Raw genomic sequence first — 26,013 nt, 5'->3', positions numbered from 1 at the left:
GGCTAATTTTTGTATTTTTAGTAGAGACAGGGATTCAGTATGTTGGGCAGGCTGGTCTCAAACTCCTGACCTCATGATCTGCCCACCTCGGCCTCCCAAAGTGCTGGGATTACAGGCATGAGCCACCGCACCCAGCGCAGTCAAATCTTAAGGCTCTAAAATGATCTCTTTGACTCCAGGTCTCACATCCAGGTCACACTGATGCAGGAGGTAAGTCCCCTTGGTCTTGGGCAGCTCTGCCCCTGTGGCTTTGCAGGGTATAGCCCCCCTCCTGGCTGCTTTCATGTGCTGTTGACCATCTGCGGCTTGTCCAAGCACATGGTGCAAGCTGTAGATACACCATTCTGGGGTCTAAAGAATGGTGGCCCTCTTCTAACAGCTCCACTAGGTAGTGCCCCAGTAGGGACTCTGTGTGGGGGCTCCGACCCCACATTTCCCTTTCACACTGCCCTAGCAGAGGTTCTCCATGAGCACCCTGCCCCTGCAGCAAACTTCTGCCTGGACATCCAGGTGTTTCCATACATCCTCTGAAATCTAGGTGGAGGTTCCCAAACCTCAGTTCTTGACTTATATGCACCCACTGGCTCAACACCACATGGAAACTGCCAAGGCTTGGGGCTTCCACCCTCTGAAGCAACAGCCCAAGCTGTACCTTGGCCCCTTTTAGCCATGGCTAGAGTGGCTGGAATGCAGGGCACCAAGTCCCTAGGCTGCACACAGCATGGGGACCTTGGGCCCAACCCACGAAACCATTTTTTCCTCATAGGTCTCTGGGCCTGTGATGGGAGGGGCTGCTGTGAAGACCTCTGACATGCCCTGGGGCCATTTTCCCCATTGTCTTGCAGGTTAACATTCGGCCCCCCATTACTTTTGCAAATTTTTATAGCCAACTTGAATTTCTCCTCAGAAAATGGGATTTTCTTTTCTATCACATTGTCAGGCTGCAAATTTTCTGAACTTTTATGCTCTGCTTCCCTTATAAAACTGAATGCCTTTAACAGCACCCAAGTCACCTCTTGAATGTTTTGCTGCTTAGAAATTTTTTCCACCAGCTACCCTAAATCATCTCTCTCAAGTTCAAACTTCCACAAATCTCTAGGGCAGGGGCAAAATGCTGCCAGCCTCTTTGCTAAAACATAACAAGAGTCACCTTTGTTCCAGTCCCCAGCAAGTTCTTCATCTTTATCTGAGACCACCTCAGCCTAGATTTCATTGTCCATATCATTATCGGTATTTTGGTCAAAGTCATTCAACAAGTCTAAACTAAAGGGAGTTCTAAACTTTCCTACATTTTCCTGTCTTCTGAGCTCTCCAGCTGTTCCAACCTCTGCCTGTTGCCCATTTCCAAAGTCACTTCCACATTTTCAGATATCTTTCCAGCAGCACCCCCACTCTACAGGTACCAATTTACTGTATTAGTCCATGTTCATGCTGCTGATAAAGACATACTCAAGACTGGACAATTTACAAAAGAAAGAGGTTTAATTGGACTTACAGTTCTATGTGTCTGGGGAAGCCTCACAATCATGGTGGAAGGCAAGGAGGAGCAAGTCACGTCTTACATGGATGGCAGTAAGCAAAGAGAGAGCTTGTGCAGAGAAACTCCCATTTTTTAAACCATCAGATCTTGTGAGACTTATTCACTATTACGAGAACAGCACAGGAAAGACCTGCCCCGATGATTCAATTACCTCCCACCAAGTTCCTCCCACAACATGTGGGAATTCAAGATGAGATTTGGGTAGGGACACAGCCAAACCAAATCACCAATGAAAATGGATGATGAGGGCATGGACACTCAGGCATCAGTGGTTTTTAAAGCTACCCAGGTGATTCCACATACCCCCGGCACTTGGTTGCTAACTTGACCCCTCTGGTCTAAATCAATCATGGTTGTCCCATCGCCCTTACTAGTGCATTAGTTAAAAAAGTGCATGTGGCCAGGTGTGGTGGCTCATCATGCCTGTAATCCCAGCAGTTTGGAAGGCTGTGGCAGGAGAATTACTTGAGCCCAGGCATTCAAAACCAGCCTGAGCAATCTAGTGAGACCTTGTCTCTACAAAAAAAATAAATAAATAAAATATTAGCCAAGCATGGTGGCATGTGCCTGTGACCCCAGCTACTTGGGAGGCTGAGATGGGAGGATTGCTTGAGCCCAGGAGGTCTAGGCTCCAGTGAGCTGAGATGGTACAATAAGGGCATGCTGATGTCGGGATTCCTAGGTGTGTCATTACCATCAGTGCCGTGAGAAGAGCTTTCCCGAGGACAAGCTGATGTGCTGGGGGAAGGGAGAGTAAGGAGAGAGTACACCTAGGTCCCTGGTAGCCTTCCCAAACTGCACATCCACCAACCTGAAGACGTCCTCCTCCAGGATTCTCATTACCTGAAACCAAATCCATTCAAGTGAGGGGATTCTGTTATTTACAACACAAGGTATAACTGATACAGTGAAGAATTCTCAATACATAAAGGACTTTAGAAAGATTTCCCAGCTGGGTGCAGTGATTCATGCCTGTATGATTGCATGAACCCAGAAGTTCAAGACCAGCCTAGGCAACATGGCAAGACCCCATCTCTACAAAAAATTAAAAATTAGCCAGGCATAGTTTCATGCACCTGTGATCCCAGCACTTAGGGAGGCTGAGGCAGTGGATCACTTGAGCCCAGGAGTTCAAGACCAGCCAGGGCAACATGATGAAACCCCATCTCTACAAAAAATAGTCAGTGTGGTGGCAGTTACCTGTAGTCCCAGCTACTTGGAATGCTGAAGAGGGAGGATCACTTGAGCCCAGGAGGTTGAGGCTGCAGTGAGCCATGATTGCGTCACTGCACTCCAGCCTGGGTGACAGAACAAGAACCTGTCTCAAAAAAAAAAACAAAAACAAACAAACAAACAAAAGCCAGGCGTGGTGGTGTGAGCACTCTTGGAGGCTGAGGCAGGTGGATCACTTGAGGTCAGGAGTTCAAGACCAGCCTGGCCAACATGGTGAAAGCCCGTCTCTACTAAAAATACAAAATTTAGCCAGACATGGTGGCATGCACCTGTAATCCCAGCTATTCAAGAGGCTGAGGCACAAGAATCACTTGAGCCTGGGAGGCAGAGGTTGCAGTGAGCCTAGATCATGCCACTGCACTCCAGCCTGGGTGACAGAGCAAGACTCTGTCTCAAAAAAAAAAAAAAGGGCCAAGCACGGTGGCTCACACCTGTAATCCCAGCACTTTGGGAGGCCAAGGTGGGCGGATCATGAGGTCAGGAGATCAAGACCATCCTGGCCAACATGGTGAAACCCATCTCTACTAAAAATACAAAAATTAGCTGGGCGTGGTGGGGCGTGCCTGTAATCCCAGCTACTCGGGAGGCTGAGGCAGGACAATTGCTTGAACCCGGGAGACGGAGGTTGCAGTGAGCCGAGATCACACCACTGCACTCCAGCCTGGGTGACAGAGCAAGACTCTGTCTCAGAAGAAAAAAAAAAAAATCCCTACTGGAGGGAGGCCTCAGTGAGTGTGTATGTGTGTCAGTTTTCTCCCTAAAGGAACAGGAACGGGAATGTATGAGGAGCAAACGAAGCAAAACATGAGGGGAAGGGAGGGGGAGGAGATTAGAAAAACCAAGAGCTAAATATAGAGAAAAATCCATATAGTTTGAGAGGAAATTATGCTTTAGAAGTGGAATGAGAATGATACAGGAACAAATTAAGAGGAGGTACTAAATAACTGAGAACTTAAGGACACTGATGGTTAATGGAGATGTAATATGGTTTCCTCAACACAGAGGCCCAGGGGAAGGATTAGAATTAAACAACTAAGGTAGTAGGAGAAAGAACAAGTTCCAGGACTAGGGGTGGGAGTCAGTGAATGCACAGATAGTTACTAAATACCTAGTCTGTATTTACTAAATACTAAATACACTTGCTCATGCAGGTGACACAATAAATTTAAGAACGCTTGCAACCAAAGTACAAGATTTGCTTTCAAAACAGAAAAAAAAAAAAAAAACAACAACTGGAGAGTACTTATCCTGCATGCAAGATGCATGCAATAAATATTTCTTGAATCAACTAGGGACAGAGGATTTATCTGGGCATAGGAAATGCAATGAGACTTAAAGACAACATGGTGGGTGAATTCTTAATTGTAGATCCCTGGCAGACGTGGCAGGCCAAATAATTCCTAGTAGTATGCTCGTGAGACAGTGTATTAGTGATGCAGTAGAATTTGATGTGTGACTAATTGTTTTCCATTTCAAAAAATGCAAATTATTCCATTCAAACAGAAAAATGTATGAAAAAGCTCGAGAGTGACTAATACAATTCTTATATCACTCATTTCAATGTTAGGGACTTTTACATTTTTAAATTAATAAACGGGCACCATGTAGAAGCTTCGCTGAAAGAGGGAGCCTTTGTAAAGCTTAGTGCCCATGTTGTAGAGACAGTGGAGCTGTCACAGCCATGACGTGGTGAGGAACATGAGCCACCTGACTGCTGCTTCCTGGCCGTGTGACCCTGGAAAGTTGCTTCAACTCTTGGTACATTTGTAAAATGGAGATAATAAGGCTGGCCCTCTCAAAAGGTTGTGAGGATAACTGAGAAACGTGTAGGTAAAGTGTTAACTAGTGACTGGTGTGTGGTGGGTAGTCTGTAAATGTTAACTACTATGATTATCGTCTTCATCCGTCTGGACTGCTATAACAAACAGAATACCGTGGACTTGGTAGCTGATAAACAACAGACCTTTATTTCTCACAGTTCTGGAGCTGGGAAGACCAAGATGAAGATGCAGCGGGTTCGGTATCTAGTGAGGGCCTGTCTCCTGGTTCATAGATGCCACCTTCTTGTTATGTCCTCAAACGGTGGAAGGGGATAGGGGTCTATCTCAATCTTAAGTCTGTCTTTTATTTTATTTTATTTTATTTTATTTTATTTATTTGTATTTTATTTTATTTTATTTTTTTGAGACAGGCTCTCGCTGTCACCCAGCCTGGAGTGCAGTGGCATGATCATGGCTCAACGCAGCCCCCACCTCCTGCGCTCAACTGATCTTCCCAGTTCAGCATCCCAAGTAGCTGGGACTACAGGTACAAACACCATCCCTGGCTAATTTTTGTAGAGACAAAGTCTCACTTTGTTGCCCAGGCTGGTCTCAAACTTCTGGATGCGAGTGATCCTCTTGCCTCAGCCTCCTAAAGTGCTGGGATTACAGGTGGGAGCCATCACACCTGGCTAATTATTTTCCTGGCCCATCATTTTCCTATATCAATGAACAGAGGACCATTCTGCTTACCTCTAATTTGAAATGCAAGTGTATCCGCCTTGGGTACAGCGAATAATGGATATGGTCAGTATTTACCCAAGGATGAATGTGATTGCCCAAAAGCAAAATAGAGATCTGACGCATTTTAGAAAAGGTAATCTCAAAGAAAACAAAGTAGCATTTACTCGAAATGTCTTTCTTGGCCTACTCAGTAATTATGTGTTTAGAAAAGATAAGTAGTAAAGAGTGACAGGAAGGAAGACCAACATCAACAGGGCATGTTAGTAGATGAAATGTTTAAAAATGTAATTATTGAGGGAGACTTCTGTTTCCAGCCCTGACAGAGTAACAAGTACCAAACATGCCCTCCTGCTATAAGGAAACTGGGCAAAGTATATGAAACAAATGTTCATACACGTACTATAAATGTGCATACATGTACTATAGGCAATTCAAGACTGTGAGAAGGAAAATAAATGGAATGAGTCCAAAAATGACCTAGGCTGTCTGCCTGGAGATACTTCCCAGACTGCTGTGGTGCAAGAAGAGGGAACCTAAACAGAATATAGTCGTTTCACCAAGTTGAAGGACAGAGATTGGTTTCAGGAGGCTAAGGTGGCTGGAATTTGCAAGGCAAAGTAACACAGAGAAAAGAGTCCAAAAAAGAGCCCAGGAAATCTGCATAACAGTGTTCTGGAGTCTTGTGCTAAATATTAAGCTGTATCTCTAACAGGAAACTCCATAAAGCCAAGCAAAAAATCACTATGGGGAAATGTAAGTTGGACAGTTCCCAGAGCCCACACACTACTGGGGTATGTTTGAGTTCCAACTCTGAGTGAAGAGACCTGATTAAACACTGAGGATATGTGGTAAAGATCCGTGAAGGGTTACACCTTAGGAGTAGAACTGAAATAGACCTAGAACAGCAGTTCTCAACCAGGGGTAAGTTTACTCCCCAGAGGATATTTTGCTGTATCTGGAGACAATTTATATTGTCATGACTGGGAAGATGCTACCATTGTCTAGAAGGTAGAGGCCAGGTGTCTTAGTCCATTTGTGTGGCTATAACAAAACACTGGGTGGTTTATAAATAACAGAAATGTATTTCTCACAGTTCTGGAGGCTGGGAGGACCTAGATCAAGGCACTGGCAGATTTGGTGTCTGATGAGAGCCCGCTTCCTGGTTTAGAGAATGTGTCCTCGCTGCTTTCTCACATGGCGAAAGGGGACAGGGCAGCTCTCTGGGGCCTCTTTCATAAGGACACCAATCCCAAATGCCCCACCTCCTCTAATACTATTAGTGTTAGACTTCAACATATTAATTTGGGAGAGACACAAACATTCAGACCACAGCAGCAGGGATGCTGTTAAACATCCTACGGTGCACAGGAAAGGCCTCCACAACAAAGACATGTCAACAAGTGCCAAGCCTTTGTCAATCCAAATGTCAAAAGTTGCGACCTGAGTCTGTGAGTGTGAAGGAAAAAAAAAGGACAAATATCAAAAGTACCAATGTTGTGGCCAGGTGCAGTGGCTCACGCCTGTAATCCCAGCACTTTGGGAGGCCAAGGTGGGCGGATTGCTTGAGGTCAGGAGTTTGAGACCGGCCTGGACAACAATGGTGAAACCCTGTCTCTACTAAAAATACAAAAATTAGCCAGGCATGGTGGCATGCGCCTGTAATCCCAGCTACTGGGGAGGCTGAGGCAGGAGAATAGAATCACTTGAACCTGGGAGGCAGAGGTTGCGGTGAGTTGAGATCATGCCACTGCACTCCAGCCTGGACGACAGAGCAAGACTCCATCTCAAAAAAAAAAAAGAAGAAAAGAAAAGAAAGACATTTTCAGATAAATAAAAGCTGTGAGGTCATTTCCAGAGAACGGCATTATAAGAAATATTTTTTTGGCTGGGCACGGTGGCTCATGCATGTAATCCCAGCACTTTGGGCTTTTTGTTGTTGCCTTGTTTTTTCAATATTTTTTATATTAATAGAGATGGGGTTTCGCCATGTTGGCCAGGCTGGTCTTGAACTCCTGACCTCAAGTGATCTGCCCCCGTCGGCCTTCCAAAGTGCTGGGATTACAGGCATAAGCCACTGCACCCAGCCTATCCCAGCATTTTGGGAGGCAGTAGGGAGAGGATTGCCTCAGGCCAGGAGTTCAAGACAAGCCTGGGCAACTAGCGAGACACAATCTCTACCAAAAATAGAGAAAAATTAGCTGGTTATGGTGGCACACACCTTTAGTCCCAGCTACTCAGGAGGCTAAAGATAGAGGGATTGCTTGAGCCCAGAAGTTTGGGGTTTCAGTGAGCCGTGATTGTGTCACTGCACTCCAGCATGGGTGACAGATAGAAAAATTAGATCTACACAAAGAAATAACGAGATGTGGCCTGGCGCGGTGGCTCATGCCTGTAATCCCAGCACTTTGGGAGGCCAAAGCGGGCGGATCACGAGATCAGGAGATCGAGACCATCCTGGCTAACACGGTGAAACCCCATCTCTACTATAAATACAAAAAATTAGCCGGGTGTGGTGGCGGGTGCCTGTAGTCCCAGCTACCCGGGAGGCTGAGGCAGGAGAATGGCATGAACCCAGGAGGCAGAGCTTGCAGTGAGCCGAGATTGTGCCACTGCACTCCAGCCTGGGCGACAGAGCAAGACTCCAACTCAAAAAAAAAAAAAAAAAGAAAGAAAGAGATGTAAATACATGGTAAATATAAAATACTTTTTTCATTTAAAAGAATTTCTCTAAAAAGATAATTGACCATTTAAAGCAAATATAAAAATATAGTTTGGACTTTCTAATGGAAATGGAAATGAAATGTCTTAAAACAATAGCACAAAGGTTCCAAAGGGAAAATGGAGTTGCATTATTAAAAGGTTCTCACATGATATGTAAAGTAGCATAACAATATTTAAAGATATGTGATACACTCCTGAAACAGGAGCCCAAGCGTGCATGTGGACACAGGGTCGTGGGAGATGAATGCGGTGGTGTCGCAGGTGAACTCTCTGCCGCTTCTCAGCCTGATGGTGGCGCTCATATTTAGCTGCTTTCACCATCACCACTGCCTTCAAAGACGGAAGCATCCTGGTGTGGTGGCAATGACTCGCCGATCAAGCTGAAAAACGTAGATGACTTCAACGGACCGAGAGAAAGAAGTGATTTGGGATTCATTACATTTGATGTAACTGCTGATTAACTCAGCTCGTTTCCCAGTAGTGGCACCAGTCTTGTAGTTAATTGTGAGAATACATTTGATTGGAATGTTAAGCAGTTGTTTATTTATCAGCAGAATATTCAACAAAAGATAATCTACGATTAGAGACCTAATGGCAATATATTTGCAACAAAATTTGAGACCTGTGATTAAAATTATCATTATGAAGATATGTAATCAAAAGCTGTAAAGATTATTAATAATTTTTCTATTTTCTGAGATTATTTTAAAATCCATCTCAGTACAGCTTTTTTTTTTCTCATATTTTTTTTCTGTTTTTAAGAGATAGTATCTCACTCTGTCACCCAGGCTGGGGCAATCACAGCTCACTGCAGCCGCAATCTCCTTGCCTCAGGCATGTTTTGGTTTTGTTTTTGTTTTTGTTTTTAAATACATGGCATGAGCTGTTTTAGTAGTCTTACTAAGCCATGTATCTGCAGTTAATTATATTGAAAATAATTTTCCTTTGTTTTGGTGTTGTATGGGATTCATCAACGTAAGTACTTGAACTAGTCTTTTTAACTGTAAATTACATGCCAGGTGCAGTGGCTAATGCCCGTAACACCAGCACTTTGGGAGACTGAGGTGGGAGGATCACTTGAGCCCAGAAGTTCAAGGCCAGCCTGGGCAACATAGTGAGACTTTGTCTCTACAAAAAAATTTAAAAAATTAGTCAGGTATGATGACATACAATTGTAGTCTCAGCTACTGGCGAGGCTGAGGTGGGAGAATTGATTGAGCCCAGGAGGTTGAGGCTGCAGTAAGTTGTGATGGTGCCATTGCACTCCAACCTGGGTGACAGAGCAAGACCCTGTCTCAAAAAAAAATTAAATTTAAAAAATTATAAATTATAATTGAGAATAGGTTTTATAATTAAAAGCTGTTAAACTATTAGATTAAAAATCTGTTAAAGTTATCAGTTATTATAATTGAAAGCAAATTAATCTAGTCTGATTGCAAGTGGGGTAGAGGTGGAGATACTTATATAGAATGTTGCTCAAACAGAAATCTTCTTAGGTTCTATTTTAATGTTGATGCTGAAGGTATAAAGTGATAGACTTAAAATATGAAAGTGAAATCCATAGAACTGAAATGTGCCTATATGTTATTTACCTTATGTTGGTCGTCAGTGTTGCCTGGAAATTATTTGCAGTTAAAGGCTCTAAACCAAGTTGGCCTTGAGGACGAGATTGTTCTGAGAGGTATTAATCTGAAGCTACTCTTGAAATATATGAAAACAAATTTTTTTTTGACAATGAAAATGGTTGCAAGAGGAAAGTCACTTTGACTCTATCTGGGAACCGTGTACCAGTTGCTGGAACGCTGCCTCGGGACAGGATGAGAACAGGTATCTATTCCATTTCCAGATACATGTGAAATAATAAAGAGAATATTAAATTATTCTAAGTTTGAAACGATGTATTTTTATTGATTATTATTTTTTTTTGTTGAGGCAGAATCTCGCTCTGTCACCCAGGCTGGATGCAGTGCCCTCTTGGCTCTCTGCAGCCTCTACTTCCCAGGTTCGAGCGGTTCTCCTGCCTCAGTCTCCCGAGTAGCTGGGATTACAGGCACAGGCCACCACACTGGCTAATTTTTTTTTTTTTTGAAACTGTGTCTTGCTGTGTCACCCAGGCTGGAGTGCAGTGGCGCAATCTTGACTCACTGCAACCTCCGCCTCCCAGGCTTAAGCGATTCTCGTGCCTCAGCCTCCTGAGTAGCTGGGACTACAGGCATGCACCACCACACCCAGCTAATTTTTGTATTTTTAGTAGAGATGGGGTTTCCCCATGTTGGGCAGGCTGGTCTCAAACTCCTGGATTCAAATGATGCACCACCTCGGCCTCCCAAAGTGCCAAGATTACAGGCATGAGCCACTGCACCTGGCGAAACAATATATTTTTATTCTTAACGAATTGTATCTCATTGACCTTTAAAAAAAAATGAGGCTGGGCACGGTGGCTAACGCCTGTAATCCCAGCACTTTGAGAGACTGAGGCAGGCGTATCACGAGGTCAAGAGATTGAGACCATCCTGACCAACGTGGTGAAACCCATCTCTACTAAAAAATACAAAAATTAGCTGGGTGTGGTGGCACATGCCTGTAATCCCAGCTACTCGGGAGGCTGAGGCATGAGAATCAATTGAACCTGGGAGGCGGAGGTTGCAGTGAGCCAAGATCACATCACTGCACTCCAGCCTGGGCGACACAGGAAGACCCTAAAAAAAAAAAGAGTGAGACAAAACTATATACTCCATAAAGAAATCTAATTTGAATATAAAGACAACAGATTAAGAATAAATGGACCAGGCAAGGTGGCTCACGCCTGTAATCCCAGCACTTTGGGAGGCCGAGGCGGGCAGATCACCAGAAGTCAGGAGTTCGAGACCAGCCTGACCAACATGGAGAAACCCCATCTCTACTAAAAATACAAAATTAGCCGGACATGGTGGCGCATGCCTGTTACCCCAGCTACTTAGGATGCTTAGGCAGGAGAATCACTTGAACCCAGGAGGTGAAGGTTGCGATGAGCCGAGATGGCGCCATTGCACTCCAGCCCGGGCAACAAGAGCAAAACTCCTTCTCAAAAAAAAAAAAAAAAAAGAATAAATGGATGGAAGCCTGGGCAACATGGAGAAACCCCATCTCTACAAAACAAAACAAAAACAAAAAATTAGCCAAGCATGGCAGCACATGCCATAGTCCCAGCTACTCAGGAGGCTGAGGCAGGAGAATCACGTGAACCTGGGAGGCGGAGGTTGCATTGAGCCGAGATCGTGCCACTGCACTCCAGCCTGGGCAACAGAGTGAGAATCCGTCTCAAAAAAAAAAAAAAAGCAAAAACACATTTTTTTTTCAAGTGCAAATGTAACATTCACCAAGACAGTCCATGTCCTGGGCATGAAACAAATCTTACAGTGAAAAAGACTGTCACAATATAGAGTTCTGTTTTGTTTTGGTTTTGGTTTTGGTTTTTGAGATGGAGTCTTGCTCTGTTGCCTAGGCTGGAATGCAGTGGCACGATCTCAGCTCACTGCAACCTTAGCCTCCCGGCTCAAGCGATTCTCCTGCCTCAGACTCCCAAGTAGTTGGGACTACAGGTGTGCACCACAACGCTCAGCTAATTTCTTTGTATTTTTAGTAGAGAGGAAGTTTCACCATGTTGGTCAGGCTGGTCTCAAACTCCTGACCTCAAATCATCTGCCCGCCTCAGCCTTGCAAAGTGCTGGGATTATAGCCGTGAACCACTTCTCCTGGCCCACAATATAGAATATTTTATTTGACCACAAAAGAATCTAGAAATCAATATCATTACATACCTATCAGAAGGGCACACACATTTAAAAAAGTCAAAAATCTGACATTACCAACCGCTGAAGAGAATATAGAGCGGCCAGAATTGATAGGGATGTCAAATGGCACAGCCACCTTGGAAATCCATTTGGCAGGTTCTTATAAAGTTAAATATGTACCCACCATATGACCCAACCATTCCATTCCTAGGTATTTACCCAAGAGAATGAAATCCCATGAGCCCCAAAAGACTTGTACATGCATATTCATGGCAGCTTTATTAATAATAGTTTTATTAATAATAGCTGCCATGAATATTTGTGGATGGGTATTAAAACCAAATACACATCTAGCTGGGCAAGGTGGCTCATGCCTGTAATTCCAGCACTTTGGGAAGCTAAGGTGGGCGGATCACCTGAGGGTGGGGGTTCAAGACCAGCCTGGCCAACATGGTGAAACCCCGTCTCTACTAAAAATACAAAAATTAGCTGGGCATGGTGGTGGGCACCTGTAATGTCAGCTACTTGGGAGGCTGAGGCAGCAGAATCCCTTGAACCCTGGAGGCAGAGGTTGCAGTGAGCCAAGATCATGCCAATGCACTCCAGCCTGGGCGACAAGAACGAAACTCCATCTCAAAAAATATATATCCATCTATAGGCAAATAGATAAGCAAATTGGTTTGTCCATACAAGGGAATACTACTCAGCAATAAAAAGGAGCAAACTTCTGATAGACACAGTACACAACAACATGAATGGATCTTGAAAACTTTATTGATGAGCTAAAGAATCCAGATCCGAAAAAGTGTGTATGTGTGTGTGTGTGTGTGTATAATACATATATATAGTAGGATTTTTTAATATAAAGTCCTAGAACAGGAAAAACTACTATATAGTGACAAAAAGCAGACCAGTGTTTGCCTAGTACTGGGAGGGGTAGGACTGACTACAAAGGAGTATGAGGAAAATTTTGTTGGTGATGGAGATGTTATATATCTTAATTATGATGATATATACATAGATGTCAAAATTCATCAAACCATACACTAAAAATAGGTACATTTTAATATATATAACCTTTATCTCAATAATAGTTGATTTTAAAAAGAAACAAATTGTCAAGATGTTATACACTAAAGATTTGTGCACTTTACTGAATTGTATGTTTCAATTTTTTTGTTTGTTTTTTTTTGAGACAGAGTCTCTGTCTCCCAGGCTGGAGTGCAGTGGCGCGATCTCGGCTCACTGCAAGCTCCGCCTTCCGGGTTCATGCCATTCTCCTGCCTCAGCCTCCCCAGTAGCTGGGACTACAGGTGCCCGCCACTACGCCCGGCTAATTTTTTGTATTTTTCATAGAGACGGGGCTTCACCGTGTTAGCCAGGATGGTCTCGATCTCCTGACCTTGTGATCCACCCGCCTCGGCCTCCCAAAGTGCTGGGATTACAGTGTGAGCCAGCGCGCCGGGCCTGGGAGGAGGCTGGATACCTCTGTATGTGACCTTTGAGTCTGCAGAGACGAATCCTTTAGGGCACATCCCCAGATGTCTCCATCCTGCGTGTCCGGGTCCCAGGCTTCCTCAACCAGGGCTCTGAGGTTGTGTAAACAACTTGTCTTGGCTAAGCATTTATTTTTTATTCTTATTTACTTATTTTTTTTTGAGATGGAATCTCGCTCTGTTGCCCAGGCTGGAGTGCAGTGGTGTGATCTCAGCTCAGTGCAACTTCTGCGTCCCCAGTTTAAGTGATTCTCGTGCCTCAGCCTGCCCAGTAGCTAGGATTACAGGCACGCACCACCATGCCCAGCTAATTTTTGTATTTTTTGTAGAGACTGGGTTTTACCATGTTGGCCAGGCTGGTCTCGAACTCCTGACCTCAAGTGATCTGCCTGCCTTGGCCTCCCAAAGTGCTGGGATTACAGGTGTGAGCCACCGTGCCCAGCCTTGGCTGACCATTTAAATGCCTCTGGAACTCAATGACTTTAACTATTAATGAGAGGGAGCAGGGACCCCCCCTTTTTGAGCCTTCAGGCACCTCGAGCATGGAAATAAAGGAAAATGGTGAATTCCTTCAAGGGAAATTCCAGGCTCCTAGCTACTCCTGAGAAGTAAATAAGCAACTTGATACGCAAGAAGGTAATGGTAGTTTAAAACAGTAGTTAGAATCACAGGATGTTTGGTTCCCCTACAGAAACTAAAGATAACATCTTAACATATGTCACTGAGTTATTTTTCAGGAACTCAAACCCCTATCAAATGGATCTGCTGGCACTTTAGACCTCAGAGAACAGGGAGCTGAGGACTGGACTTCTTTGTTCTCAATTTCTTCCTGAGGGGCCTGGAGGAGGTCATGCCCACAAGCCAGAGCTAACATTCTTTGCTGCTGACCCCAAATTTTTAAACAAAACTTCTCATCCTCAACCAATTGCAAATCAGAAAATCTTGAGTCTATCAGTGACCTGTAAGCCCCCACTTCAAGATATCCCACCTTTTTAGGCCAAAACAGTGTATAATCTCCATGTATTGATTTATGATTTTGCCTGTAACTTCTGCTTTCCTAAAATCTACCCCTGCCTTTAAAAATTCTTTCTTTCAGGCCAGGCACAGTGGCTCATGTCTGTAATCCCAGCACCTTGGGAGGCTGAGGCAGGAGGATTTCTTGAGGCCAAGTGTTCGAGATCAGCCTGGGCAAAATAGCAAGACCCCACCCCCCCCTACACACCTGCCCCCGATCTCTACAAAAAATTTTAAACTAGCCAGTTATGGTGGCACATGCCTATAGCCCTAGCTACTTGGGAAGCTGAGATGGGAGGATCGCTTGACCCCGGGAGTTTGAGGTTGCAGTGAGCTATGATTGCACCACCACACTCCAGCGTGGGTGACAGAGCGAGATCCTGTCTCAAAGAACAAAACAAAACGTCCTTACTTTCAACCCATCAGGGAGGTCAAGATTTAAGCAAGAGCTGCTTGATTCTCACTTGGCACCCTGCAAATAAACTCCCTCCTTTCTCCTGCTGCAAACCTCAGTGTGGTTCTTCTGGCCTTATTGCACCAGGCAAGCGGACTCCAATTCTGTTCAGTAACATTAAGACCTGAGTTTGCTCCTCAGCTGTGTTCACTCTTCGTAAAGGCAATGATGGCCTCTTTGTAAGCTACCAATGAGGGCTCTGGCTCTCCACTTAGCTGGTATGTGTTTAACTCTCGCTTTTCATTATTCCTATACGGGGCACTAATAACCAGCCAACTCCACTGTGTTTTTAAGCAGTGTCTTTCCCCTGTCTTTCAATGCCTGAATCATCTCACCAGCAAAGGTGTTCCCCTCCACTCGGATATTTTGGGCCACCTTGAATCAGGCATTATCCGTGCCCCACATTCCACTTGGGATGGGATACTCCTTGCCAGCCAGGTGAGAAATTAGTCAATCCTAAACTGTGTGCTTTTCCAGCCACTCTTGATACCCTGTTCCTGTTCAAGTTTTCTGAGAAACAGAGGCTAGGACACAATCAGATGTATAGATTTATTTATTTGGGGAAATGCTTTTGAGGAATAAAGCAGAGAGACAGCTAGGCCAATGGGAGGCTGTGTTCATCATGCTCTGATTACCTTCCATGTTTGCTTGCTGAAAGGACTCACAGGACTCCAACAGTTTCTATACTCATACAGACCAGTTTTGTTTTGTTTTGTTTTGTTTTTTGAGAGTCTCACTCTGTCACCCGGGCTGGAGTGCAGTGGCAGATCTCGACTCACCCCAATCTCTACCTCTCGGGTTCAAGCAATTCTCCCACCTCAGCCTCTCGAGTAGCTGGGATTACAGGTGTGCACCACCATGCCCAGCTAATTTTTGTATTTTTAGTAGAGACAGGGTTTCACCATCTTGGCCAGGCTGGTCTTGAACTCCAGACTTCACATGATCCACCTTCCTCAGCCTCCCAAAGTGCTGGGATTACAGGCGTGAGCCACCCAGCCCAGCCCTCACATATCAGTTTTTAACAGGCAAAGGATACAGTATGGTAACAGCAGGCAACGTTATGCAAAGAAGGGGCTACAGATCTCAGGCACAGGCTTCTTTGTTCTGTCTCTGCTGACTCCCACTGCCTGTGCTACACGTTCAGGTCTTGAACCGTCATGTGTGTACATACCAGGAAGTCCAAAGCTCACTCATGGTGGGATCTCTTGGAGTGAACTGGTCACATAGGCATGTTTTAGCTCCATGACCAGCCTTAATATTGAAATCCTCCAGGCTCCATCAAAGAAACAATTATTAAACAGTGCTGATGGGCTGGTATGTCCTGTTCCCCAAACAATCCACAGACCGATGGTTACAGAACATCATTTGATATATTCCATAGTGTTGGCCAAGGGTCACCATCAGGCTCCAGGCAGCTCTACAGGTAAGCGTGCAGCCTATCCTGACCAGACCACACAGGAGCCCCCACAGCCAAGAAAGCCCATTAGAGGAGGCATGGAATGGGCTGGTTTGAGCAGCTCTGCCATGCGCAGTTATTGGCTAGGAGCAGCCTGGGGAGAGCATGGTGTTGATATGAATACTGTGGCAGAGCTTAGGGACAGCAGTTGGAGGCTGGAGATCTCAGTGGCTGTGATGGTTAAGGTTAGGTGTCAACTGGATTGGATTAAGGAACACCTACAGAGATGGTAAAACATTCCTTCTGGGTGTGTCTGTCTGGGTTTCCAGAGCAGACTGGCGTGTGAGTCAGTGGACTAAGAGGGGAAGATCTTCCCTCAATGTGGCTGGGCACCAACCAATTGGCTGGGGGCCAAGATAGAACAAAAAAAGGAGAGAAAAGGATTTCCTCTCTCTCCTGGAGCTGGGACCTACTCTTCTCCTCCTGTCCTTGGATATCAGGACCCCAGGCTCTCCAGCCTTGAGACTCTAGGGCTTACATGAGCACCACCCACCCCACCAGGTTCTCAGGCTTTGGGGCTTGGGCTGAGAATTACACCATTGGCATCCCTGGTTCTAAGACTTTTTGACTTGGATTGAGCCACAATACCAGCATCCCAGGGTCTCCAGCTTGCAGATGGCCTGTCATGGGACTTCTCAGCTTCCAGAATCATGTGAGCCAATTCCCTAATAAATCCCTTCTCCTCTGTCTGTATATGTATGTATGTATGTATGTATGTATGTATGTATCTATCTATCTATCTATCTATCTATCTATCTATCTATCTAATCATCCCCTGTTGGTTCTCTCTCTCTAGAGAACCCTGACTAGCAGTGGTGCACCTCCATAGGTATCAAAACCCATTTCAGGAAAGGTTTCAAAAGCCCTCTATACTTGTGAGGCCCCTGTTTATCTCTTGAGTCTTAGCTTTTGCCACATCTAATTTTAAACTCTTCAACTATCCTCAACTACTTAAAGTTCCTGGGATAAAAGCTCTGTTCTTTCTTTCCCCTGGGCCTTTGCACATGACTTTCTGCCAATCATAGTACTTTCTTCTTCCACTTCCTCTCTCTAACTTCTACTCAGCCTTCAGGTCTCAGTTCAAAGACTGGGAAACATTTCTTACCTCACCCCCTATCAACCTCTGATTAAGTTCAGGACATGCTACCCACAAATACAGCACTTTGGTATTTGAGAAAACAGCAGAAGCAAGTAGGTCCATCTCATCTTCCTCTCAGCCTTCTCCCTTGAAGCAGGTCATGAGACCTCATTGGAGAGGTCCCTCCCTATACCTAGAGGAAAGGGACATCCTTATCTCTGAACACACAGAGACACAAAGAAAAATCGGAACAAATAGGTCTTGCTAAGTGGTCCCCTCACACTTTATTAACATTAGATCATACTTTTTATCCAATTATATTTTTCCAGGACCATCCACTTCTCCATCAAACCTAGCATAAAATATACACAGATTTACCTGTTTGTTTGGGCCATTTCCTTTTTTTGTTTTTTTGAGACGGAGGTTTGCTCTGTTGTCTGGGCTGGAGTGCAGTGGCTTGCTCTTGAATCACTGCAAGCTCTGCCTCCCGGGTTCAAGCGATTCTCCTACCTCAGCCTCCCAAGTAGCTGGGATTACAGGCGCATGCCACCACACCCAGCTAATTTTTGTAATTTTAGTAGAGACTGGGTTTCGCCATCTTGGCTAGGCTGGTCTCAAACTCCTGGCCTCAGGTGATCAGCCCACCTCAGTCTCCCGAGGCATTACAGGCGCGAGCCACTGCACCCAGCCATTTCCTTTTAAAGTCTCCCATGTCGCATGAAACTTAAATAAATAAATGTGTATACTTTTCTTGTTAAACTATCTTTTGTTATAGGGGCTTCAGCCACAAACCCAGTGATGATCAAGGAAAAAATATTTCTTTTCCTCCCCTACATCCCGCACTCCACTATGCTCCTACAGTATCTTGACCTCAGCCCTAGGACAGCTACTGTCAAACTATTGCAATTGCTTATGGAATGTGTCTGTGTCTTCCCTTAGACTGAAAGCTCTGCGAGGCACTATGTCACATTGAATTTTGCAACCTTAGTTCCTGCCACATAGTAGGTGCTTAATTAATAAGTATTTGCTGGCCAATTACTGAATAATCGTACCCTATTAAATTGCCTAGAATACTAGGGGTTATGAGAAGACAGCAGAATTGATGACTATAAACCTTTTTCTTTTCTTTTTTTTTTTTTTTTTTTTTTGAGACAGGGTCTTGCTCTGTTTCCCAGGCTGGACTGCAGTGGTGCAATCATAGCTCACTGGAGCTTCAACCTCCCCAGCCCAACTGATCCTCACACCTCAGCCTCCTGTGTAGCTGGGACTACAGGCGCACACCACCTCACCCAGCTAATTTTTGTGGAGGCAGAGTTTGACTATGTTGCCCAGGCTATTAAACTCTTAATGTTTCCTTGGACACATACAGGTCCTGAAGGGGCAATCTTTCTGGGTTAGAATTCACAAATCTGCACTGTGTTGAGTCATCCAATCTTTCTGGTTTGGGCAGTTCTGATGACAAGGTATTCCTCCTTGGGTAGCCTGGGCTGGTGGGCTCCTCTAGCTTATATGTGCTAATTCATTTAAGAAATTCTGAACAGGCCAAGTGCCGGTAATCCCATCACTTTGGGAGACTGAGGGCGGATTGCTTGAGCTCAGGAGTTCTAGACCAGCCTGGGCAACATGGCAAAACCCTGTCTCTACAAAAAATAGTGTGCCCCTGTAGTAGCGTGCCTCTGCAGTCCCAGCTATTTGGCAGTCCGAGGTGGGAGGATGTGGCTTGAGCCTGGGAGGTTGAGGCTGCAGGAGCTGTGATTGCCCCACTGCAGTCCAGCCTGAGCAACAGAGTGAGACCCCGTCTCAAAAAATAAATAAATAAATAAATAAATAAATAAAATTGCCTAGTAGAGTGCCTCTTTGACTTCACATCTTCATTAAGTGCCTAGGAAGGGGTCTAGCACAAAACGACTACCAAAGATTTTAAGATTGGGATAAAACCTAGTCTGAAAACAAGATTTTCCTTGTAACACATTTATTGAGTTATACTTCACAGACCACAATTCACCTATTTAAAATACACAATTCTATAGTTTTTAGTATATACTAGTTCACACTTAACCCTGGGGGATACATTCCAGGACCCCCATTGGATGCCTGAAACTGACGATAGTACTGAATCCTATATATACTGTTTTCTCTATACATACATACCTACGATAAAGTTTAATTTGTAAATTAGCAAAGTAAGAGATTAACAACAATAACTAATAATAAAATAGAACAGGCTGGGCACAGCGGCTCACGCATGTAACCCCAGCACTTTGGGAGGCCAGGGCAAGCAGACTGCTTGAGCCCAGGAGTTCAAGACCAGCCTGGGCAACATGGCAAAACCCCATCTCTATAAAATATACAAAAATTGCTGGGTGTGGTGATGCATGCCAGTGGTCCCAGCTACTATGGAGGCTGAGGTAGCAAAATCACCCGAGCCTGGGGAGGTCCAGGCTATAGTGAGCCATCATTGCACCCCTGCACTCCAGCCTGGATGACAGACCTTGTCTCAAAAATAATAATAAAACAGAGCAATCACAGCAATATACTGTAACAAATGTATACTGTAATACAAGTTACTGTATATTGTAACTGTGTCTCTAAATATCTTATACTGTACTCATCTCTTTTCGGACCTCAGTTGTTTATGGGTAAATGAAACCACGGCAAGAGAAACTCTGGAGAAGTGGGGACTACTGTATGCACAGAGTTGTGCAACCACCAGGGTTGATTTCAGGACTTTTTTTTGAGACGGATTCTTGCTGTCACCCGGGCTGGAATGCAGTGGCACGATCTCAACTCACTGAGCCTCTGCCTCCCAGGTTCAAGTGATTCTCCAGCCTCAGCCTCCCGAGTATCTGCATTACCACTGCCCACCACCACACCCAGTTAATTTTTGTATTTTTAAAACAGACAGGGTTTCACCGTATTGGTCAGGCCGGTCTTGAACTCCTCTCCCCAAGTGATCTACCCTCCTCAGCCTCCCAGAGTGCTGGGATCACAGGCGTGAGCCACCACACCCGGCCAATTACAAGACATTTTCATCACCCCAAAATGAAACCCTGTACAGTGGACTGAACACGGCGGCTCCAGCACTTTGGGAGACTGAGGCAGAAGGATCCCTTGAGGCCAGTGGGTCCGGAGTCGGTTCTTTCCGGTGGGTTCTTGGTCTCACTGACTTCAAGAATGAAGCTGCGGACGTTGGTGTTGAGTGTTAAGAAGTCACAAAAACGGTGTGTCCAGAGTTTGTTCCTTCAGATATATCCACAGTGTCTTCCTTCCAGTGGGTTCGTGGTCTTGCTGACTTCAAGAACGAACCCACAGACCTCTGTAGCGAGGGTTACAGCTCTTAAAAGTAGCGCAGACCCAAACAGTAAGCAACAGCAAGAATCAATCTGAAGTGCAAAATAACAAGGCAGAACACGTTACCACTTCTGACTCCGGTGGCCAGCTTTTATTCCCTTATTTGGCCCCTCCCATGTCCCGTTGATTGGTCTATTTCACAGAGTGCTGATTGGTCCATTTTACAGAGTGCTGATTGGTCAATTTTTATGGAACGTTGATTGGTGCATTTACAATCCTCTAGCTAGACACAGAGTGCTGATTGGTGTATTTACAATCCTCTAGCTAGATAGAAAGGTTCTCCAAGTGCCCACCCCATCCAGAAGGCGCGCTGGCTTCACCTCTCGCCAGGAATTTAAGACCAGCGTAAGCAACATGATGAGATCCCTGTCTCTACAAAAAAAAAATTTAGCCAGGCATGGTGGCACACACTAGTCCCAGCCACTCCAGAGGCTGAGGCAGGAGGATTTCTCGAGCCCCAAGAGTTCTAGGCTGCAGTGAGCTATGATAAGGCCACTATACTTCAGCTTGGGCAACAGCAAGCAAGACCTTGTCTCTAAAAAAGAAAGAGAGAAGAAGAGAGAAAGAAACCCTGTACTCATTAGTAGTCAATCCCCATCCCCCACCCCTGCCCCTATTCCCATCAGCCCTAAGCAATCACTAATCTGTCCTTTATCTCCATGGATTTACCTATTCTGCACATTTCACATGAGTGGAATCATACAATATGTGATCTTCTATGACTGTCTTCTTTCACTTAGCATATGATGTTTTCAAGGTTCATTCATGTTGTAACATTTACCGGTACTTCATTCCTTTTTATGGCTGAATAATATTTCATTGTATGGTATACCACTTTTTTCCTTTTGTTTAACTTTTATTTTAGGTTCGGGGTACATGTGCAGGTTGTTATATAGGTAAACTCATGTCATGGGGGTTTGTTGTACAGATTATTTCATCACCCAGTTACTAAGCCTAATAGCCAACAGTTATTTTTTCTGATCCGCTCCCTCCTCCCACTCTCCACCCTCAAGTGTCTGTTGTTTCCCTCTTTTACCACATTTTTCAATGCCTGCTTTTATTATAAAAGTAATACAAGACCAGGCACGGTGGCTCACGCCTGTAATACCAGCACTTTGGGAGGCCAAGGTGAGCGGATCACCTGAGGTCAGGAGTTGGAGACCAGCCTGTCCAACATGGCGAAATCCTATGTCTACCAAAAATATAAAAATTAGCCAGTGTGGTGGCAGGTGCCTATAATCCCAGCTACTCGGGAGGCTGAAGTGAAATTGCTTGAACCTTGAATCTGGTAGGCAGAGGTTGCAGTGAGCCAAGATTGTTCCATTGCAATACAGCCTGGGTGACAAGAGAGAAACTCTGTCTCAAAAAAAAAAAAAAGATAATACAAAATATTTTGGACTTGCAGTACTGGCAAAAGTAATAAAAAACATTTTACTGCTCATAATTTTATATAATTTACTACTTATAATTTCTCTATTATAAATACAGATTCAGAGAAAATTAAAAGCACCCATAACCCTATCACTCAGAGATAACCACCATAAACATTGGATATCTTTTGTTCTGAGCTTAATCTATGCAAATATATTTAGTAATTGGAATCATACCTGTAATGTTTGTGTAATATGAATTTTTTTCTTGTGGTAAAATGCACATAATATAATATTTACCATTTTAGCCATTTTAAAGCGTACAGTTCAGTGGCACTAAGTACACTAAGTACATTCACATTGTTGTGAAACCATCACCACCATCCACCTCCAGAACTTTTTTATCATCCAAAACTGAAACTCTGTACCCATTAAACAATAACTCCTCACTCCTCTCCCCTTCAACCCCTGGCAAGCACCATTCTGCTTTTTCTCTATGAATTCGAGAACTCCAGGTTCCTCACATAAGTGGAATCCTACAGTATTTCTCCTTATGTGTTATTTCGCTGGCTTATTCGGCTAAGCATAAAGTCTTCAAGATTGATCTATGCTGTAGTACGAGCGGACTTCAAGAAGTTAGTGGAAAAATTGAATTAAATGATTTTTTTTTAAGACTGGGTGCAGTGACTTACACCTGTAATCGCAGCACTTTGGGAGGCCAAGGTAGGAGGATCACTTGAGCTTAGGAGTTTGATTCCAGCCTGGCCAACACGGTGAAACCCCGTGTCTACTAAAAATACAAAAATTAGCTGGGTGTGGTGGCACGTGCCTGTAATTCCAGCTACTCAGGAGGCTGAGGCAGGAGAATCGCTTGAACCTGGTAAGTGGAGGTTGCAGTGAACCAAAATTGTGCCATTGCTCTCCAACCTGGGCGTCACAGCAGGACTTTGTCTCAAAAAATAAAAAATTAGCTGGGTGTGGTGGTGCGTATCTGTATTCCCAGCTACTTGGGAGGCTGAAGTGGGAGGATTCCTTGAGCCAGGGAGGTTGAGGCTGCAGTAAGCTATGATTGTACCACTGCACTTCAGCTTAAGCAACAGAGTGAGACCCTGTCTCAAAAAATAAAAATAAAAAAATAAAGTTTGATCAGGAGCTGAGATACCCCAGAAAGCCCTGAAAGTAGCCACACCTCTACCACCAGCCTTGGCTGCCCAGGGAGTAGTGGCCTCGGCGGCCTCACATCCATGGTTCTGTGGGTAGGGACAAGAAGGTCATGGCGAAGATTTTCGGGAAAAGGAAAATGATTCAATGTAAGAAACAGATCTGCCATTAAAAAAGAACCCCAGGAAGTACCTTGGCTGTGTAGGAACTGGAGAGACTGTGGAGTCTGACGCTGAAGGAGAAAAGGGTGTGGAAGCAGCAGATGTCACAGCCCTGGTGGAATTCCACTGCAAGGCAGTAAACGTGGAGCAGGCCGTAACCATTATGGAAGCAATCCACGTCCTGGGGGTCCTCCACACAATTACCAGCGGAATTACCAGAATAGTGAGCGTGGGGAAAAGAAGGAAGGATAGGAGAGTGCTCCCAAAGGCCAGGCCCAACAAGACTGGCCCTTCCTCAGGAGAAGGTTCCTGGAGAAGGTTCCTGCCCTACTACCTGAAGAGACCCTATGGGCGTGGACCACAGTGTTCCAGCCCTCCAGCGCAGGGAGCGGAGATGGAGGATGCTGACAGCCAGGGTGCAGGAGCACCAGGTAGACCAGTGAGGCAAGATATGTATGTGGCTATAGGCCATGATTCCACTGGGGCCCTCTTAGCCAAAGACAGCCTAGAGAGGATGGTGATGAAGAGGATAAAAAGAAATCAAGGAGATGAGACCCCAGGTCAGCAGCAAGGTCGGTGCCCAGGTGGAGACCCCGAAAATATGGCAAAGAGACAAAAGCAGCTGAAAATTTGCCCATGGCCGGCCGGGCGCGGTGGCTCACGCCTGTAATCCCAGCACTTTGGGAGGCCGAGACGGGCGGATCACGAGGTCAGGAGATCGAGACCATCCTGGCTAACACGGTGAAACCCCGTCTCTACTAAAAATACAAAAATTAGCCGGGCATGGTGGCGCGTGCCTGTAGTCCCAGCTACACAGGAGGCTGAGGCAGGAGAATGGCGTGAACCCGGGAGGCGGAGCTTGCAGTGAGTCGAGATCGCGCCACTGCACTCCAGCCTGGGCGACAGAGCGAAACTCCGTCTCAAAAAAAAAAAAAAAAAAGAAAAAAAAAAGAAAATTTGCCCATGGCCAAGGCTGAGCAGGGTAGGGCTGAGTAAATACCAGCTTACCATCTCTACCATCATCCCCTTTAGTCGTACAACAAGAAGAAATGAATGTGAAACTGCAGCAATAAGAAATGAACAAAAGATTGGCACTGAAGACATTGTTTGCTCTTTGCTGCTGACCAATTATTAGAACTATCTGCATTATCTGTGCAGCATGGGTTTTTAAAATCACTTTTTTCCTAAAGACAACTCTTTTTGGTGATAACAAATGTGGTTTTCTTAAAAAAAAAAAAAGTCTGGCTTTTCTCAATATGCCTCTAAAGATTTTTAAATTGTTTCATATCTGGTCAAGTTGAGACTTAAGAACTTCATTTTAAATTTGTAATAAAAGTTTACAACTTGGTGTTTTTTCAAAATAGTCAATGAACTGCAAGCACTTGTCAATAAAGATCTTAAATAATTGTCAAAAAAGTTAAAATAAAAAATATAAACTTTATTTCTCAACATAGACTTCACCAAGTTCGGGACACTTTCTTTTGTAAGCAATGATACCAGCCATTTAGTCCATCCCTAAAGAACTGAGGGTCCTGGGAACGTAACCATGTCAGTGCAGTCTCTTTTACGATACTAACTGAAGAAAAATAGGTGTAGTTTAATGGTTTTTTTTAAAGATTAGGAAATGAAGGCAGAAGGAGGCAAATCAGGACTGTAAGGTGGATGCCTAATGATTTCCTTTTGAAACTCTATTTATTTATTTGTTTGTTTGTTTGTTTTTTGAGGCAGGGCCTCACTCTGTAGCCCAGACTGGAGTGGAGTGACACAATCACGGCTCACCACAACCTCTACCTCCTGGGCCCAAGCAATTCTCCCACCTCAGCCTTCCGAGCAGCTGGGACTACAGGCATGCGCAACCACGCCTGGCTAATTTTTGTATTTTTTGTAGAGACGGGGTTTCACCATGTTGCCCACGCTGGTCTCTAATTCCTGGGCTCAAGCAATTCACCTGCCTTGGCCTCCCAAAGTGCTGGATTACAGGCATGAGCCACTGTGTCCAGCCTGTTGAAACTCTTGCTTGCACCCATTTTGATGAGAGGAATGAACAGTAACATTGGTGTGGCAGAGAAAGACTCCCTAGTGAAGATTTCTTAGGGATTTTCTGCTAAAGCTTTGACTAACTTTCTCAAAACACTCCTGTAATAAGCAGATGTTATCATTCTTTGGCCCTCCGGACAGTTAACAAGTAAAATACCTCAAGCATCCCAAAAAGCTATTGCCATGACCTTTGCTCTTGACTGGTCCACTTTTGCTGTGACTGGACCACTTCCACCTCTTGGTTGCCATTGTTTAGATTGTGCTTTGTCTTCAGGATCATACTGGTAAAGCCACGTCTCATCTCCTGTTATAATTCTTCAAGGAAGTGCTTCAGGATCCTGACCCCACTCGTTTAAAATTTCCATTGAAAGCTCTGCTCAATCCTTTTGTAGCTCCTGAGCACGATGATTGTGTGTTCATGCTCATGTGTGAGATGTCCCACCCTTGAACCTTGTTACAACATCGGCATATTACCTGTCTGACATGGAAGGAAAAAAAAATGCTGTGCTCTCTGCTCTTGTCTGCAGCTGATCTGAATGCAACTGTTTTGGCATCCATCAAATGAAAAGTTTGCTCACCTTTAATTTTTCTATTAGAATTGTGTAAAGTGAGCCAATTGAGATATCTATGGTGTTGGGTATTGTTTCTGCTGTTAATAATCAGT

At 44.6% G+C, this 26,013-nt stretch overlaps 1 non-coding gene and 2 pseudogenes across 1 annotated transcript, besides 1 other annotated feature; all 3 read left to right on the top strand.

The window, feature by feature from the left end:
• Window positions 8,108-8,662: an enhancer, noted in NCBI's record as "OCT4-NANOG hESC enhancer chr1:226520933-226521487 (GRCh37/hg19 assembly coordinates)". NCBI's record gives its function as "activates a minimal SCP1, AML or CMV promoter by ChIP-STARR-seq in primed H9 embryonic stem cells {active_cell/tissue: H9 hESC(primed)}" and the evidence as "EXISTENCE:reporter gene assay evidence [ECO:0000049][PMID:30033119]".
• Window positions 8,239-9,909, top strand: LOC101060016 (signal peptidase complex subunit 3-like; annotated as a pseudogene).
• YBX1P9 (Y-box binding protein 1 pseudogene 9) lies at window positions 23,191-23,880 on the top strand (annotated as a pseudogene).
• Window positions 25,730-25,833, top strand: LOC124904814 (small nucleolar RNA U13). Its single transcript, XR_007067410.1, has one exon. It is a non-coding gene; the product is annotated as a small nucleolar RNA U13 (small nucleolar RNA).
• The last annotated feature ends 180 nt before the right edge of the window (window positions 25,834-26,013 follow it).

Source organism: Homo sapiens, chromosome 1, assembly GCF_000001405.40.
Source record: "Homo sapiens chromosome 1, GRCh38.p14 Primary Assembly".
NCBI classification, from domain to species: Eukaryota; Metazoa; Chordata; class Mammalia; order Primates; family Hominidae; genus Homo; species Homo sapiens.
This window is presented reverse-complemented; position numbering and strand designations above follow the sequence as displayed.